General features: G+C 36.3%; 11 annotated features.

Moving 5' to 3' along the window:
- Positions 2,739 to 3,256: an enhancer, noted in NCBI's record as "OCT4-NANOG hESC enhancer chr21:10733773-10734290 (GRCh37/hg19 assembly coordinates)". NCBI's record gives its function as "activates a minimal SCP1, AML or CMV promoter by ChIP-STARR-seq in naive H9 embryonic stem cells {active_cell/tissue: H9 hESC(naive)}" and the evidence as "EXISTENCE:reporter gene assay evidence [ECO:0000049][PMID:30033119]".
- Positions 3,775 to 4,292: an enhancer, noted in NCBI's record as "OCT4-NANOG-H3K4me1 hESC enhancer chr21:10732737-10733254 (GRCh37/hg19 assembly coordinates)". NCBI's record gives its function as "activates a minimal SCP1, AML or CMV promoter by ChIP-STARR-seq in naive H9 embryonic stem cells {active_cell/tissue: H9 hESC(naive)}" and the evidence as "EXISTENCE:reporter gene assay evidence [ECO:0000049][PMID:30033119]".
- Positions 4,293 to 4,812: an enhancer, noted in NCBI's record as "OCT4-NANOG-H3K4me1 hESC enhancer chr21:10732217-10732736 (GRCh37/hg19 assembly coordinates)". NCBI's record gives its function as "activates a minimal SCP1, AML or CMV promoter by ChIP-STARR-seq in naive H9 embryonic stem cells {active_cell/tissue: H9 hESC(naive)}" and the evidence as "EXISTENCE:reporter gene assay evidence [ECO:0000049][PMID:30033119]".
- Positions 9,052 to 9,857: an enhancer, noted in NCBI's record as "OCT4-NANOG hESC enhancer chr21:10727172-10727977 (GRCh37/hg19 assembly coordinates)". NCBI's record gives its function as "activates a minimal SCP1, AML or CMV promoter by ChIP-STARR-seq in naive H9 embryonic stem cells {active_cell/tissue: H9 hESC(naive)}" and the evidence as "EXISTENCE:reporter gene assay evidence [ECO:0000049][PMID:30033119]".
- Positions 9,858 to 10,662: an enhancer, noted in NCBI's record as "OCT4-NANOG hESC enhancer chr21:10726367-10727171 (GRCh37/hg19 assembly coordinates)". NCBI's record gives its function as "activates a minimal SCP1, AML or CMV promoter by ChIP-STARR-seq in naive H9 embryonic stem cells {active_cell/tissue: H9 hESC(naive)}" and the evidence as "EXISTENCE:reporter gene assay evidence [ECO:0000049][PMID:30033119]".
- Positions 10,663 to 11,469: an enhancer, noted in NCBI's record as "OCT4-NANOG hESC enhancer chr21:10725560-10726366 (GRCh37/hg19 assembly coordinates)". NCBI's record gives its function as "activates a minimal SCP1, AML or CMV promoter by ChIP-STARR-seq in naive H9 embryonic stem cells {active_cell/tissue: H9 hESC(naive)}" and the evidence as "EXISTENCE:reporter gene assay evidence [ECO:0000049][PMID:30033119]".
- Positions 13,056 to 13,579: an enhancer, noted in NCBI's record as "OCT4-NANOG hESC enhancer chr21:10723450-10723973 (GRCh37/hg19 assembly coordinates)". NCBI's record gives its function as "activates a minimal SCP1, AML or CMV promoter by ChIP-STARR-seq in primed H9 embryonic stem cells {active_cell/tissue: H9 hESC(primed)}" and the evidence as "EXISTENCE:reporter gene assay evidence [ECO:0000049][PMID:30033119]".
- Positions 13,580 to 14,102: an enhancer, noted in NCBI's record as "OCT4-NANOG hESC enhancer chr21:10722927-10723449 (GRCh37/hg19 assembly coordinates)". NCBI's record gives its function as "activates a minimal SCP1, AML or CMV promoter by ChIP-STARR-seq in primed H9 embryonic stem cells {active_cell/tissue: H9 hESC(primed)}" and the evidence as "EXISTENCE:reporter gene assay evidence [ECO:0000049][PMID:30033119]".
- Positions 14,103 to 14,625: an enhancer, noted in NCBI's record as "OCT4-NANOG hESC enhancer chr21:10722404-10722926 (GRCh37/hg19 assembly coordinates)". NCBI's record gives its function as "activates a minimal SCP1, AML or CMV promoter by ChIP-STARR-seq in primed H9 embryonic stem cells {active_cell/tissue: H9 hESC(primed)}" and the evidence as "EXISTENCE:reporter gene assay evidence [ECO:0000049][PMID:30033119]".
- Positions 14,626 to 15,148: an enhancer, noted in NCBI's record as "OCT4-NANOG hESC enhancer chr21:10721881-10722403 (GRCh37/hg19 assembly coordinates)". NCBI's record gives its function as "activates a minimal SCP1, AML or CMV promoter by ChIP-STARR-seq in primed H9 embryonic stem cells {active_cell/tissue: H9 hESC(primed)}" and the evidence as "EXISTENCE:reporter gene assay evidence [ECO:0000049][PMID:30033119]".
- Positions 15,149 to 15,672: an enhancer, noted in NCBI's record as "OCT4-NANOG hESC enhancer chr21:10721357-10721880 (GRCh37/hg19 assembly coordinates)". NCBI's record gives its function as "activates a minimal SCP1, AML or CMV promoter by ChIP-STARR-seq in primed H9 embryonic stem cells {active_cell/tissue: H9 hESC(primed)}" and the evidence as "EXISTENCE:reporter gene assay evidence [ECO:0000049][PMID:30033119]".

Consider the following 16,821-nt stretch of genomic DNA (forward strand, 5'->3'; position numbering starts at 1 on the left):
AATACTATACAGCCATAAAAAATGATGAGTTCATGTCCTTTGTAGGGACAAGGATGAAATTGGAAATCATCATTCTCAGTAAACTATCACAAGAACAAGAAAACAAACACCGCATATTCTCACTCATAGGTGGGAATTGAACAATGAGAACACATAAACACAGGAAGCAGAACATCACACTCTGGGGACTGTTGTGGGGTGGTGGGATGGGTGAAGGATACCACTGGGATATACACCTAATGATAGATGATGAGTTAGTGGGTGCAGCGCACCAGCATGGCACATGTAAACATATGTAGCTAACCTGCACATTGTGCACATGTACCCTTAAACTTAAAGTATAATAATAAAGTAAATAAATAAAATAAATAAATAAATCTATGAACATAAAGAAAATAAAACCCAAACTGCTCTTTAAAAAAAAAAAACTTGACAGAAAAATTCTGAGAAACTTCTTTGTGATGTGTGCGTTCACCTCACAGAGTTCAACCTTTCTTTTGATTGAGCAGTTTGGAAATACTCTTTTTGTAGAATCTGCAGGTGCACATTTAGAGTGCTTTGCGGCCTATGGTAGAAAAGGAAATATCTTCACATAAAATTTAGACAGAAGCAATCTGAGAAACTTCTTTGTAATATGTGCATTGGTATCACAGACTTAAACCTTTCTTTTGATAGAGCAATTTTGAAACTCTCTTTTTGTAGAATCTGCAAGTGTACATTGGAGCACTTTGAGGCCTATGGTGGAAAAGGTAATATCTTCAACATAAAAACTAGACCGAAGAATTTCGATAAACTTCTTTGTGATGTGTGCGTTCATTTCACAGAGTTGAACCTCTCTTTTGATGGAGCAGTTTGGAAACACTCTTAATGTAGAATCTTCAAGTGTACATTTGCAGCGCTCAGTGACCTATGGTACAAAAGGAAGTTTTTTCTTATGAAACCTAGACAGAAGCAGTCTCAGAAACTTCTTTGTGATGTGTGCATTCAACTCACACAGCTAAAACTTCCTTTTGATTGAGCAGTTTAGAAACTCCCTTTTGTAGAATCTGCAAGTGTACATTTGAAGCGCTTTGAGGCCTATGGTGGAAAAGGTAATATCTTCACATAAAAACCAGACAGAAGAATTCTGAGAAACTTCTTTGTGATATCTGCGTTCATCTCACAGATTTGAACCTTTCTTTTGATTGCGCAGTTTGGAATCACTCTTTTTGTAGAAACTGCAAGTGGACATTTGGAGCGCTTTGTGGCCTATGGTAGAAAACGTAATATCTTCACATAAATTCCAGACAGAAGCAATCTGAGAAACTACTTTGTGATGTGTGCATTCATGTCACAGAGTTAAACCTTTCTTTTGATTGAGCAGTTTAGAAACTCTCTTTTTCTAAAATGAGATGCATGCATTCATCTCACAGAGATAAAACTTGCAGATAGAATCTGCAAGTAGACATTTGGAGAACTTTGTGGCCTATGGTAGAAAAGGAAATATCTGCGCATAAAAACTAGATAGAAGAATTCTGAGAAACTTCTTTGTGATGTGTGCGTTCATCTCATGGAGTTGAATCTTACTTTTGATTGAGCAGTTCAGAAACCCTCTTTTTGTATAATCTGCAAGTAGATATATGGAGCGCTATGTGGCCTATGGTTGAAAAGGAAATATCTTCACATAAAATCTAGACAGAAGCAATCTGAGAAACTTCTTTGTGATGGGTGCATTCATCTCACAGAGATAAAAATTTCTTTTGATTGAGCAGTTTTGAAAATCTCTTTTATTTGAATCTGCAAATGGACATTAGGAGTGCTTTGTGGCCAATGGTGGAAAAGGAAATATCTTCACATAAAAACTAGACAGTAGAATTCTGAGAAACTTCTTTGTGAAGTGTGCGTTCATTTCACAATGTTGAACCTTTCTTTAGATTGAGCAGTATGGAAACACTCTTTTTGTAGAATCTGCAAGTGGACATTTGGAGAACTTTGTGTCCTATGGCAGAAAAGGAAATATCTTCAAATAAAATCTAGACAGAAGCAATCTGAGAAACTTCTTTGTGATGTGAGCATTCATCTCAAAGAGTTAAAGCTTTCTTTTGATTGAGGAGTTTTGAAACTCTCTTTTTGTAGAATCTGCAAGTGGACATTTGGAGCGCTTTGAAGCCTATCATGGAAAAGGAAATATCTTCACATAAAAACCAGGCAGAAAAATTCTGAGAAATGTCTTTGCAATGTGAGGGTTCATGTCACAGAGTTGAACCTTTCTTTTGATTGAGCAGTTTGGAAACACTCTTTTTGTAGAATCTGCTAGTGGACATTTGGAGCACTTTGTGGCCTATGGTAGAAAAGGAAATATCTTCACATAAAATATAGACAGAAGCAATCTGAGAAACTTCTTTGTAATGTGTGTGTTCATCTCACAGAGTTAAATCTTACTTTTGATTGAGCAGTTTTGAAACTCCCTTTTTGTAGAATCTGCAACTGTATATTTGGAATGCTTTGGGGCCTATGGTGGAACAGGAAATATCTTCACATAAAAACTATACAGAAGAAATTTCAGAAACTACTTCATAATGTGTGCCTTCATCTTACAGAGTTGAAACTTTCTTTGATAGAGCAGTAGGGAAACACTCTTTTTGTAGAATCTGCAAGTGGACATTTGGAGCGCTTTGCGGCCTATTGTAAAAAAGGAAATATCTTCACATAAAATCTAGACAGAAGAAATCTGAGAAACTTCCTTGTGATGTGGGCATTCATCTCACAGAGTTAAACCTTTCTTTTGATAGTGCAGATTTGAAACTCACTTTTTGTAGAATGTGCAAGTAGACATTTCGATTTCTTTGTGGCCCATGGTAGAAAAGGAAATATCACATAAATACTAGACAGAAGCAACCTGAGAAACTTCTTTGTGATGTGTGAATTCATCTCACAGACTTAAACCTTTCTTTTGATAGAGCAGTTTTGAAACTCTCCTTTTGTAGAATCTGCAAGTGGACATTTGGAGTGCTTTTTGGCCTATGTAAGAAAAGGAAATATCTTCACATAAAATCTAGACAGAAGCAACCTGGGAAACTTCTTTGTGATGTGTGCGTTCATCTCACAGAGTTGAAACTTTCTTTTGATTGAGCAGTTTGGAAACACTTCTTGTAGAATCTGCAAGTGGACATTTGGAGCGTTTTGCGGCCTATGGTAGAAAAGGAAATATCTTCACATAAAAAGTAGACAGAAGAATTCTGAGAAAGTTCTCTGTGATGTGTGCATTCATCTAACAGAGTTGAAACTTTCATTTGATGAAGCAGTTTGGAAATATTCTTTTTGTAGAACCTGCAATTGGACATTGGGAGTGCTTTGTGGCCTATGGTAGGAAAGGAAATATCTTCACATAACATCTAGACAGAAGCAATCAGAGAAACTTCTTTGTGATGTGTGCATTCATCTCACAGATTTAAAACTTGGTTTTGATTGAGCAGTTTTCAAACTCCTTTTTGTAGAATCTGCAAGTGAACATTTGTAGTGCTTTGAGAGCTAAGGTGGAAAAGGAACATAAAAACTAGACAGGGAATTCTGAGAAGCTTCTTTGTGATGTGTGCATTCATCTCACAGAGTTGAACTTTTCTTTTGATAGAGCTGTTTGGAAACATTCTTTTTGTAGAATCTGCAAGTGGATATTTGGAGCACATTGAGACCTCTGGTAAAAAAGGAAATATCTTCACACAAAATCTAGACAGAAGGAATCTGAGAAACTTCTCTGTGATGTATGCATTCATCTCACAGTGTTAAACCTTTCTTTTGATAGAGTTGTTTTGAAACTCTCTTTTTGTAGAATCTACAAGTGGAGCGCCTTGAGTCCTATGGTAGAAAAGGTTAATATCTTCACATAAAAACTGGACAGAAAAATTCAGAAAAACCTCTTTGTGATGGGTGCTTACATCTCACAGAGTAGGACCTTACTTTTGATGGACCAGTTTTGAAATATTCTTTTTGTAGAATCTGCAAGTGGGCATTTCGAGCGCCTTGAGGCCTATGGTCGAAAATGAAATATATTCACATAAAAACTATATGGAATAATTCTGAGAAACTGCTTTGTGATGCGTGCAGTCATCTCACAGAGTTGAACCTCTATTTTGATTGAGCAGTTTGGAAACACTCTTTTTGTACAATCTGCAAGTGGGAATTTGGACCGCTTTGTGGCCTATGGTAGAAAAGGAAATATCTTCACATAAAATCTAGACAAAAGAAATCTGAAAAAACTTCGTTGTGATGTATGCATTCATCTCACAGAGATAAAACTTTCTTTTGATAGAGCAGTTTTGAAACTCTCTTCAGTCTCTTCTTGTAGAATCTGGAAGTGGAGCACTTTGAGGCCTATGGTGGAAAAGGTAATATCTTCAAATCAAAACTAGATAGAAGAATTCTGACAAACTTCTTTGTGATGTGTGCATGCATCTCACAGAGTTGAACCTTACTTTTCATGGACAAGTTTTGAAATATTCTTTTTGTAGTATCTGCAAGTGGGCATTTCGAGCGCCTTGAGGCCAATGGTCGAAAATGAAATATCTTCACATAAAAACTAGACAGAAGAATTCTGAGAAACTTCTTTGTGATGTGTGATTTAATTCCACAGAGTTGAACCTTTCTTTTGATTGAGCAGTTGGGAAACACTCTTTTAGTAGAATCTGCAAGTGGATATTTGGATCGCTTTGTGGCCCATGCTAGAAAAGAAAACATCTTCCCATGAAATCTAGACAGAAGGAATCTGAGAAACTACTTACTGATGTGTGCATTCATCTCACGGAGTTGAACCATTCTTATGATTGAGAAGTTTTGAAACGTTCTTTTTGTAGAATCTGCAAGTGGACATTTGTAGCGCTTTGAGGCTTATGGTGGAAAAGGAAGTATATTCACATAAAAAATGAGACAGAAGATTTCTGAGAAACTTCTTTGTGATGTGTTCATTCATCTCACAGAGTTGAATCTTACATTTAATTGAGCAGTTTGGAAACACTCTTTTTGTGGAATCTGCAAGTGGACACTTGAATTGTTTGGGGCCTATTATAGAAAAGGGAATATCTTCACATAAAATGTAGACAAAAGCAGTCTGATAAACTTATTTGTGATATGTGCATTCATCTCACAGTTTTAAAACTTTCTTTTGATGGAGCAGTTTGGAAACACTCATTTTGTAGAATCTGCAATTGTACATTTGGAGTGCTATGAGGCCTATGGTGGAAAATGAAATATCTTCACATTAAAACTGGAAAGAAGAATTCTGAGAAACTTCTTTGTGATGCGTCAATTCATCTCACAGAGATGAACTATTTTTGATTGAGCAGGTTGGAAACACTCTTTTTGTAGAGTCTGCAAGTTGACACTTGTAGCGCTTTGTGTCCTATGTTAGAAAAGGAAATATCTTCACATAAAATCTAGACAGAAGCAATCTGAGAAACTTCTTTGTGATCTGTTCATTCATTTCACAGAGTCGAAACTTTCTTTTGATTGAGCAGTTTTGAAACTGTCTTTTTGTAGAATCTGCAAGTGGATATTTGGAGCTCTTTGAGGCCTACAGTGGAAAAGGAAATATCTTCACATAAAAACTAGACAGAAGAATTCTGAGAAACATCTTTATGATGTGTTCATTCATCTCACAGAGTTGAACTTTTCTTTTGATTGAGCAGTTTGGAAATACTCTTTGCGCAGAATCTGCAAGTGGACATTTGGTGTGCTTTGCGGCCTATTATAAAAAAGGAAATATCTTCCAATAAAATCTAGGCAGAAGTAATCTGTGAAATTTCTTTGTGATGTGTGCATTCATGTCACTGAGTTAAACCTTTCTTTTGATAGAGCAGTTTTGAAACTCTCTTTTTTTGTAGAATCTGCAAGTGGACATTTGGAGTGCTTTGAGGCCCATGGTGGAAAAGGCAATATCTTCACATAAAAACTAGACAGAAGAATTCTGACAAACATTTTTGTGATGTGTGTGTTCATCTCACAGAGTAGAACAATTCTTTTAATTCAGCAGTTTGGAAAGACTGTTTTTGTAGAATCTGGAAGTGGACATTTGGAATGCTTTGCGGCCTATGGAAGAAAAGGAAATATCTTCATATAAAATCTAGACAGAAGCAATCTGAGCAACTTTTTATGATGTGTGCATTCATCTCACAGAGTTAAACCTTTCTTTTGATTAGGCAGTTTTGAAATTCTCTTTTTGTAGAATCTGCAAGTGGTTATTTGGAACACTTTGAGGCCTATGTTGGAAAAGGAAATATTTTCACATAAAATCTAGACAGAAGAATTCTGAGAAACTTCTTCATGATGTGTGTCTTCATCTCACAGAGTTGAACCGTTCTTTTGATTGAGCAGTTTGGAAACACTCCTTTTGTAGAATCTGGAAGTGGACATTTGGAGAGCTTTGAGGCCTATGGTGGAAAAGGAAATATCTTCACAAAAACTAGACAGAAGAATTCTGAAAAACTTCTTTGTGATGTGTTCGTTTATCTCACAGAGTTTAACCTTTCTTTTCATTGAGCAGTTTGGAAACAATCTTTTTGTAGAATCTGCATGTGGATGTTTGGAGCACATTGTGGCTTATTTTAGAAAAGGAAATATCTTCACATAAAATCAAAGCAGAAGCAATCTGAAAAACTTCCTTCTGATGTGTGCATTCATCTCACAGAGTTATTCCTTTCTTTTGATAGAGCAGTTTTGAAACTCTCTTTTTGTGGAATCTGAAAGTGGTCATTTGGAAGGCTTTGAAGCCTATGGTGGAAAAGGAAATATCTTCACATAAAAACTAGACAAAAGCATTCTGGGAAACTTCTTTGTGATTTGTGCCTTCATCGAGTTGAAGCTTTCCTTTCATTGAGCAGCTTGGAAACACACTTTTTGTAGAATCTGCAAGCGGACATTTGGAGCACTTGCGGCCTATGGTAGAAAAGGAAATAACTTCACATAAAATCTAGACAGAATCAATCTGAGAAACTTCTTTGTGATGTGTGCATTCATCTCAGAGAGTTAAACCTTTCTTTTGATTGAGCAGTATGTAAACTCTCTTTTTGTAGGATCTGCAAGTGGACATTTGGAGCGCTTTGAGGCCTATGGTGGAAAAGTAAATATCTTCACATAAAAACAAGACAGAAGAATTCTGAGAAACTTCTTTGTGATGTGTGCGTTCATCTCACAGAGTTGAACATTTCTTTTGATTGAGCAGTTTGGAAACACTTTTTGTAGAATCTGCAAGTGGACATTTTGAGCGGTTTGTGGCCTATTTTAGAAAAGGAAATATCTTCACATAAAATCTAGACATAAGCAATCTGAGAAACTTCTTTGTGATCTGTGCATTCATCTCACAGAGTTAAACCTTTCTTTTGATTGAGCAGTATTGAAACTCTCTTTTTGTAGGATCTGCAAGTGGACATTTGGAGCGCTTTGAGGCCTATGGTGGAAAAGTAAATATCTTCACATAAAAACTAGACAGAAGAATTCTGAGAAACGTCTTCGTGATATGTGTGTTCATCTCACACAGTTGAGCCTTTTTTTTTGATTAAATAGTTTGGTAATACTCTTTTTGTAGAAATTGCAAGTGGACATTTGGAGCGCTTTGTGGCCTCTGGTAGAAAAGGAAATACCTTCACATAAAAAATAGACAGAAGAATTCTGAGAAACTTCTTTGTGATGTGTCAATTCATCTCACAGAGTTGAACATTCCTTTTGATTGAGCTGTTTGGAAACACTCCTTTTGCAGAATCTGGAAGTGGACTTTTGGAGCACTTTGAGGCCTATGGTGGAAAAGGAAATATCTTCATGTGAAATCTAGACAGAAGCAATCTGAGAAACTTCTTTGTGATGTGTGCATTCACCTCACAGAGTTAAAACTTTGTTTTGATTGAGGAGTTTTGAAACTCTCTTTTTATAGAATCTGCAAGTGGACATTTGAAGCGCTTTGAGGCTTATGGTGGAAAAAAAATATCATCACATAAAAACCAGACGGAAAAATTCTGACAAATGGCTTTTTGATGTGTGCATTCATCCCACTGAGTTGAAACTTACTTTGCTTTGAGCAGTTTTGGAACACTGTTTTTGTGGAATGTGCAAGTTTACCTTTGAAGCGCTTTGAGGCCTTTGGTGGATAACGAACTATCTTCATATAATAACTAGACAGAAGCATTCTGAGAAACTTCTTTGTGATGTGTGCATTCATCTGACAGAATTGAAACTTTCTTTTGATTGGGCAGTTTTGAAACACTCCTTTTGTAGAATCTGCAAGTGGACATTTGGAGCTCTTTGGGACCTATTGTGGAAAAGGAAATATCTTCACATAAAAACTACATAGAAGCATTCTGAGAGCCTTCTTTGTGATGAGTGCCTTCATCTGACAGGGTTTATCCTTTGTTTTGATTGAGTACTCTTGAAACACTGTTTTTGAGGTGTCTGCAAGTGGGATACTGGGAGCACTTTCAGGCCTACTGTGGAAAAGCAAATATCTTCACATAAAAACTACACAGAAGCATTCTGAGAAACTTCTTGGTGATGTGTGCATTCATCTCACAGAGTTGAACCTTTCTTTTGATTGAGAGTTTTTGAAACATGCTTTTTGTAGTATCTGCAAGTGGATATTTGGAGCGATTTGAGGCCTATTGTGGAAAACCAAATATCTTCCTATAAAAACTACACAGAAACATTCTGAGAAACTTCTTTGTGATGTGTGCATTCACCTCACAGAGTGGAACCTATCTTTTGATTAAGCAGTTTTGAATCTCTCTGTTTGAAGAATCTGAAAGTGGATATTTGGAGACCTTGGAGGCCGATGTTGGAAAAGGAAATATCTTCAAATAAAAATTACACAGAAGCATTCTGAGAAACATTTGTGATGTGTGCATTCATCTCACAGTGTTGAAACTATGTTATGATTGAGCGGTTTTGAAACACTCTTATTGTAGAATCTGAAGGTGGATACTTGGGCCACTTTGAGGCCTATGGTAGAAAAGGAAATATCTTCACACAAAAACTACACAGAAGCATTCTGAGAAACTTCTTTGTTATGTATGCATTCATCTCACTTTGTTGATCTTTTCTTTTGATTGAGCAGTTTTGATACACGTTTTTTCAGCTAATGCAAGTGGATATTTGGAGCGCCTTGAGGCCTAATGTGGAAAACCGAATATCTTCACATAAAAACTACATAGAAGCATTCTGAGAAACTTCTTTGTGATGTGTGCATACATCTTCCAGAGTTGAAACTTTCTTTTGATTGTGTAGTTTTGAAACACTCTTTTTTTAGAATCTGCAAGTGGGTATTTGGAGGGATTTGAAGCCTATTGTTGAAAAGGTAATATCTTCGCATAAAAACTATGCAGAATCATTCGGAGAAACTTCTTTGTGATGTGTGCTTTCAACTCACAGAGTTGAACCTATCTTTTGATTGAGCAGTTTTGAAACACTCTTTTCGTAGAATCTGCAAGTGGATACTTGGAGTGGTTTGGGGTCTACTGTGATGAAGGAAATATCTTCACATAAAAACTACACAGAAGTATTCTGAGAAACTTCTTTGTGATGTGTGCATTCAACTCATGGAGTTAATCCTGTATTTTGATTGAGCAGTTTTGAATCTCTCTTTTAGCAGAATCTGCAAGTGGATATTTGGAGAGCTTTGAGTCCTAATGTGAAAAGGAAATATCATCAAATTAAAACTATACAGAAGCATTCTGAGAAACATATTTGTGATGTGTGCATTCAACTCACAGAGTTGAACCTATCTTTTGATTGAGCAGTTTTGAATCTCTGTTTTGGTAGAATCTGCAAGTCGATATTTGGAGCCCTTTGATGTCTATGGTGGAAAAGGAAATACCTTCAAATAAAAACTACACAAAAGCATTCTGAGAAGCTTATTTGCGATGTGTGCATTCATCTCACTTGGTTGAACCAATCTTATGATTGAACAGTTTTAAAACACTCTTTTTGTAGAATTTCTAAGTGGTTATTTGGAGCGTTTTGAGGCCTATAGTGGAAAAGGAAATATCTTCACATAAAAACTACAGAGAAGCATTCTGAGAAACTTCTTTGTGATCTGTGCACTCATCTCACAGAGTTGATCCTTTCTTTTGATTGAGCAGTTTTGAAAATCTCTTTTTGCAGAATCTGCAAGTGGACATTTGGAGCACTTTGAGGCCTATGGTCTGAAAAGAAATACCTTTACATGAAAACAAGATAGAAGAATTCTGAGAAACTTCTTTGTGATGTGTGCCTTCAACTCACAGAGTTGAACTTATCTTTGGATTGAGCAGTTTTGAATCTTTCCTTTGTAGAATCTGCAAGTGGATATTTGGAGCCCGTTTTGCCTTGTGGTGTAAAAGGAAATATCTTCACATAAAAACTACACAGAAGCATTCTGAAAAAACTTCTTTGTGACGTGTGCATTCATCTCACAGTGTTGACCCCGTCTTTTGATTGAGCAGTTTTGAAGCACTATTTTCATAGAATCTGCAAGTGGATATTTGGAGCCCTTTGCAGCCTACGGTGGAAAAGGAAACATCTTCACACAAAAACTATACAGAAGCATTCTGAGAAACTTCTTTGTGATGTGTGCATTCATCTAACAGAGTTGAACCTTTGCTTTGATAGAGCATTTTTGAAAAACTCTTTTTGTAGAATCTGCAAGTGGATATTTGGAGTGCTTTGAGGCCTATTGTGGCAAAGGAAATACCTTCACATAGAAACTACACAGTAGAATTCTGTCAAACTTCTTTGTGATGTGTGCCTTCAAGTCACACAGTTGAAACTTTGTTTTGATTAACCAGTTTGGAAACATTCTCTTTCTAGAAACTGCAAGTGGATATGTGGAGCCTTTTGCGGCCTAAGGTGGAAAAGGAAATATCTTCACATAAAAACTACACAGAAGCATTCAAAGAAACTTCTTTTTGATGTGTGCATTCAGCTCACAGAGTTGAACTTATCTTTTTATTGAGGAGCTTTGAAAATCTCTTTTTGTAGAATCTGCAAGTGGATATTTAGAGCCCCTTGCTGCCTGTGGTGGAAAAAGAAATATCTTCTCATAAAAACTATACAGAATCATTCTGAAAAAACTTATTGGTGATGCGTGCATTAATCTCACAGTGTTGAACCTTTCTTTTGATTGACCTGTTTAGAAACACTATTTTTGTAGAACCTGCAAGTGGATATTTGGAGCCTTTTGAGTCCTTTGTTGGAAAAGGAAATATCTTCACATAAAACCTACACGGAAGCATTCTGAGAAACTCCTTTGTGATGTGTGCCTTCATCTCACAGAGTTGAAGCTTTCTTTTGATTGAGCAGTGTTGAAAGAGTCTTTTTGTAGATTCTGCAAGTGGATATTTCGAGGGCTTTGAGTCCTATTTTGGAAAAGGAAATATCTTCACAAAAAAACTACACAGAAGCCTTCTGAGAAACTTCTTTGCAATGTGTGCATTCATCTCACAGAGTTGAACATTTCTTTTTATTGAGCACTTTTGAAGCACTCTTTTTGTAGAATCAGCAAGTGTATATTTGGAGCCCTTTGCAGCCTGTGGTGGAGAAAGGAAATATCTTCACATAAAATCTACAGAGAAGCGTTCTGTGAAACTGGTTTGTGATGTGTGCATTCATCTCACAGATTTGAACCTTTCTGTTGATTCAGCAGTTTTGAAACACTCTTTCTGTAGAATCTGCAGTTGGATATTTGGAGCACTTTGAGGCCTATTGTGGCAAAGGAAATATCTTCACATAAAAACTACACAGAAGCATTCTGAGAAACTATATTGTGATGTGTGCATTCATCTCACAGAGTTGAACCTTTCTTTTGTTTGAGCAGTTTTGAAACACTCTATTTTGTAGGATCTGCAAGTGGATATTTGGAGTGCTTTGAAGCCTATCATGGAAAAGGAAATATATTCACATGAAAACAACACAGAATCATTCTGACAAACTTCTTTGCAATGTGTGCGTTCATCTCACAGAGTTGAACTTTTCTTTTTATTGAGCAGTTTTCAAAAACTGTTTTTGTAGTATCTCTAACTGGACATTTGGAGCGCATTGAGGCCTATGGTGGAAAAGGCTATATCTTCACACAAAATCTACACAGAAGCATTCTGAGAAACTTCTTTCTGATGTGTGCATTCAAATCACAGATTTGAATCTGTCTTTTGATTGCACAGTTTCCAAACTCTCTTTTTGTAGAATCTGCAAGTGGATATTTGGAGCCCTTGGTGTCCTCTGGTGGAAAAGAAAATATCTTCACATAAAAACTACACAGAAGCATTCTGAGAAACTTCATTTTCATGTATGCATTCATCTGAGAGAGTTGAACTTTTCTTTTCACCAAGCATTTTTGAAACAGTCTTTTTGTAGAATCTGCAAGTGGATATTTGGAGCCCCTCGAGGCCTACTGTGGAAAAGAAAATATCTTCACATAAAAACAACACAGATGCATTCTGAGAAACTTCTTTGCAATGTGTGCCTGCATCTCACAGAGATCAACTTTCTTTTGATTGAGGAATTTTGAAACACACTTTTTGTAGAATCTGCAAGTAGATATTTGGAGTACGTTGAGGCCTATGGTGAAAAAGGAAATATCTTCACATAAAGCTACACAGAAGCATTTTGAGAAACTTCTTTCGACATGTTCGTTCAACACACTGTGGTGAACATTTCTTTTGATTGAGAAGTTTTGAAACCCACTATTTGTAGAATCTGCAAGTGGATATTTTTAGTGCTTAGGACCTATTGTGGAAAAGGAAATGTCTTCACTTAAAAACTACACAGAAGCATTCTGAGAAACATCTGTGTGATTTGTTCATTCACCTCACAGATTTGTAACTTTCTTTTGATTGAGCAGTTTGGAAACACTCTTTTAGTAAAATCTACAAGCGGATACTTGGAGCGCTTTGAGGCCTATTGTAGAAATGGAAATATCTTCACATAAAAACTAAACAGAAGCATTCTGAGAAACTTCTTTGAGATGTGTGTATTGAACTCAGAGTTGTACCTATCTTTTGATAGACGAGTTTTGAAACTCTCTTTATGTAGAATCTGCAAGTGAATATTTGGAGCCCTTTGTGGTCAATGGTGTAAAAGGAAATACCTTCACATAAAAACTACACAGAAGCTTTCTGAGAAACTTCTTTGTGATTTGTGCATTCATCTCAAGGAGATGAACCTTTAATTTGATTGAGCAGTTTTGAAACACTCTTTTTGTAGAATCTGCAAGTGGATATTTGGAACGCTTTGGAGAGAATGGTGGAAATGGAAATATCTTCACATAAAAACTACGGAGGAGCATTCTGAGAAACGTCTTTGTGATGTGTGCATTCAACTCACAGAGTTCAACCTTTCTTTTGATTGAGCAGTTTTGAATCCCTCTTTTTGTAGAATCTGCTAGTGTATATTTGGAGCACTTTGGGGCCTATGGTGAAAAGGAAATTTCTTCACATAAAAACTATAAAAAAGCACTCTGAAAAACTTCTATGTGATGTGTGCATACAATTCACAGAGTTGAACATTTCTTTTGATTGTGCAGTTTTGAAACACTCTTTTTGTAGAAACTGCAAGTAGATACTCGGAGGGCTTCGCAGACTATAGTGGCAAAGGAAATAACTTTGCATAAAGCTAAACAGAAGCATTCTGAGAAACTTCTTTGTGATGTGTGCATTCAACTCACAGAGTTGAACCTTTCTTTTGATTGAGCAGTTTTGAAACTCTATTTTTGTAAAATCTGCAAGTGTATATTTGGTGCGATTTGCGTCCAATGGTGGAAAATTAAATACCTTCACATAAAAAGTAGACAGAAGCATTCTGAGAATCTTCTTTGTGATGTGTGCATTCACCTCACAGAGTTGTAACTTTTTTTATTGAGGACGTTTGAAACACTCTTTTTGTAGAATCTTCAAGTGGGTGTTTGGAGCACTTTGTGGCCTATAGTGGAAAACGATGTATATTCACATAAAAACTAGACAGAAGCATTCTGAAAAACTTCTTTGTGATGTGTGCCTTCATTTGAAAGAGTTCAACCTTTCTTTTGATTGAGCACTTTTGAAATACTCTTTTTGGAGTATCTGTAAGTGGATATTTGGAGAGCTTTGAGTCCTATGGTGGTAAGGGGAAACATCTTCACATAAAAACGACACAGAAGCATTCTGAAATACCTCTTTGTGATGTATGCATTCATCTCACATAGTTGAACCATTCTTTTGAATGAGCAGTTTTGAAACACTCTCTTTGTAGAATGTGCAAGTGGATATTTGGACCGCTTTGATGAGTATGGTGGAAAATGAAAAATCTTCACATAAAAACTAGACAGAATTACTCTGAGAAACTTCTTTGTGATGTGCGCATTCATCTCACAAATTTGAAAATTTCTTTTGATTGAGCAGTTTTGAAACGCTCTTTTTCTAGAATCTGCCAGTGGATATTTGGAGTGCATTGAGTCCTATGGTGGAGAAGGAAATATCCTCACATAAAAACTAGAGAGAAGCATTCTGAGAAACTTCTTTGTTATGTGTGCATACATCTCATGGAGTTGAAACTTTCTATTGATTCAGCATTTTTTAAACACTTTTTGTAGTATCTGCAGTTGATATTTGGAGCCCATTGGGGCCAATGGTGGAAAAGGATTATCTTCTCATAAAAACTAGATTGAAGCATTTTGAGCAAATTCTTTGTGATGTGTTCGTTCATCTCACAGATTTGAACCATTCTTTTGATTCAGCAGTTTTGAAGCACTCTTCGTAGAATCTGCAAGTGCATATTTAGATCGCTTTGAGACGTGTGGTGGAAAAGGAAATATCTTCACATAAACACTAGACAGAAGCATTCTGAGAAATGTCTTTGTGATGTGTCCATTCACTTCACAGAGTTGAAACTTTCTTTTCATTGAGCAGTTTTGAAACACTCTTTTTATAGAATATGCAAGTGGATATTTGGAGCGTTTTGGAGAGAATGGTGGAAATGGAAATATCTTCATATAAAAACTACGGAGAAGCATTCTGAGAAACGGCTTTGTTTTGTGTGCCTTCAGCTCACAGAGTTGAACCTTTCTTTTGATTGAGCAGTTTTGAATCCCTCTTTTTGTATAATCTGAAAGTGGATATTTGGAGAGCTTTAGGGCCTATGGTGGAAAAGGAAATATCTTCACATAAAAACTACATAAAAGCATTCTGAGAAACTTCTTTCTGATGTGCGCATACAACTCCCAGAGTTGAACCTTTCTTTTGATTGTGCAATTTTGAAACACTTCTTTTGTAGAATCTGCAAGTGGATATTCGGAGGGCTTTGCCGAGTATAGTGGAAAAGGAAATAACTTTGGATAAAAGGTAGACAGAAGCATTCTGAGAAACTTCTTTGTGATGTGTGCATTCAACGTACAGAGTTGAACCTTTCTTTAGATTGGGCAGTTTTGAAACACTATTTTTGTAAAATCTGCAAGTGGATATTTGGTGACGATTGCGGCCTATGATGGAAAAGCAAATATCTTCACATAAAAACTAGACAGAAGCATTCTGAGAATCTTCTTTGTGATGTGTGCATTCATCTCACACAGTTCAACTTTTCTTTTGATTCAGCAGTTTGGAAACAGTATTTTTCTACAATCTGCAAAGGGATACTTCTTAGCCGATTTAGGCCTATGGTGAATTAGGAAATATCTTCACATAAAAAATAAACAGAAGCTTTCTGAGAAACTTCTTTGGGATGTGTGTTTTCATCTCACAGAGATGAAACTACCTTTTGATTGAGCAATTTAGAAACTCTCTTTTAGTAGGATCTGCAAATGGATATTTGGAGCGCTTTGAGGCCTGTGGTGAAAAAGGAAATATCTTCACATAACAACCAGACAGAAGCATTCTGGAAACATCTTTGTGATGTGTGCATTCATCTCACAGAGTTGAACCTTTCTTTTGATTGAGCAGTTTGGAAACAGTCTTTTATAGTATCTGCAGAGAGATATTTGTGAGCATTTTGAGGACTTTGGTGAGAAAGGAAATATCTTCATATAAAACCTAGTCAGAAGATTCTGAGAAACTGCTTTGTGATGTGTGCATTCAACTGACAGAGTTGAAACTTTGTTTTGATTCAGCAGTTTGGAAACAGTCCTTTTGTAGGATCTGCAAAGGGATATTTCTGAGCCCATTGAGACCTATGGTGAAAGAAGAAATATCTTCACTTAAAAACTAGACAGAAGCATTCTGAGAAACTTCTTAGTGATGTGTGCTTTCATCTCACATGTTTGAACCTTTCTTTTGATTGAGCAGTTTGGAAACAGTGTTTTTGTAGAATCTGCAAAGGATATGTCAAGCGCTTTGATGCCTATGGTGAAAAAGGACATATCTTCACATGGAATCTAAACAGAAGCTTTCTGAGAAACTTCTTTTTTATGAGTTCATACATCTCACAGAGGTGAAACTTTCTTTTCATTGAGCAGTTTGGAAACAGTCTTTTTGTACAGTCTGCAAAGGAAATTTCTGCGAAGTTGGAGGCCTATGGTGAAAAAGAAATATCTTCAGATAAAATGTAGACAGAAGTATTCTGAGAAAATTTTTTGTGATGTATCTATTCATCTCACAGATTTGAACTTTTCTTTTGATGGAGCAGTCTGGAAACAATCTTTTTGTAGTATCTGAAGAGGGATATGTGAGAGCAGTTTAAGGCCTGTGGTGAAAAAGGAAATATCTTCACATAAAAACTAGGTAGAAGCATTCTAAGAAACTTCTTTGTATTGTGTGCATTCATCTCAAAGAGTTGAAGCTGTCTTTGGATTGAGCAGTTTGGAAACTGTCGTTTTGTAGAATCTGTGAAGGTATATTTCTGAGCCCATTGAGGCCTATGGATGAAATA

This window comes from Homo sapiens, chromosome 21, assembly GCF_000001405.40.
Source record: "Homo sapiens chromosome 21, GRCh38.p14 Primary Assembly".
Lineage (NCBI taxonomy): Eukaryota > Metazoa > Chordata > Mammalia > Primates > Hominidae > Homo > Homo sapiens.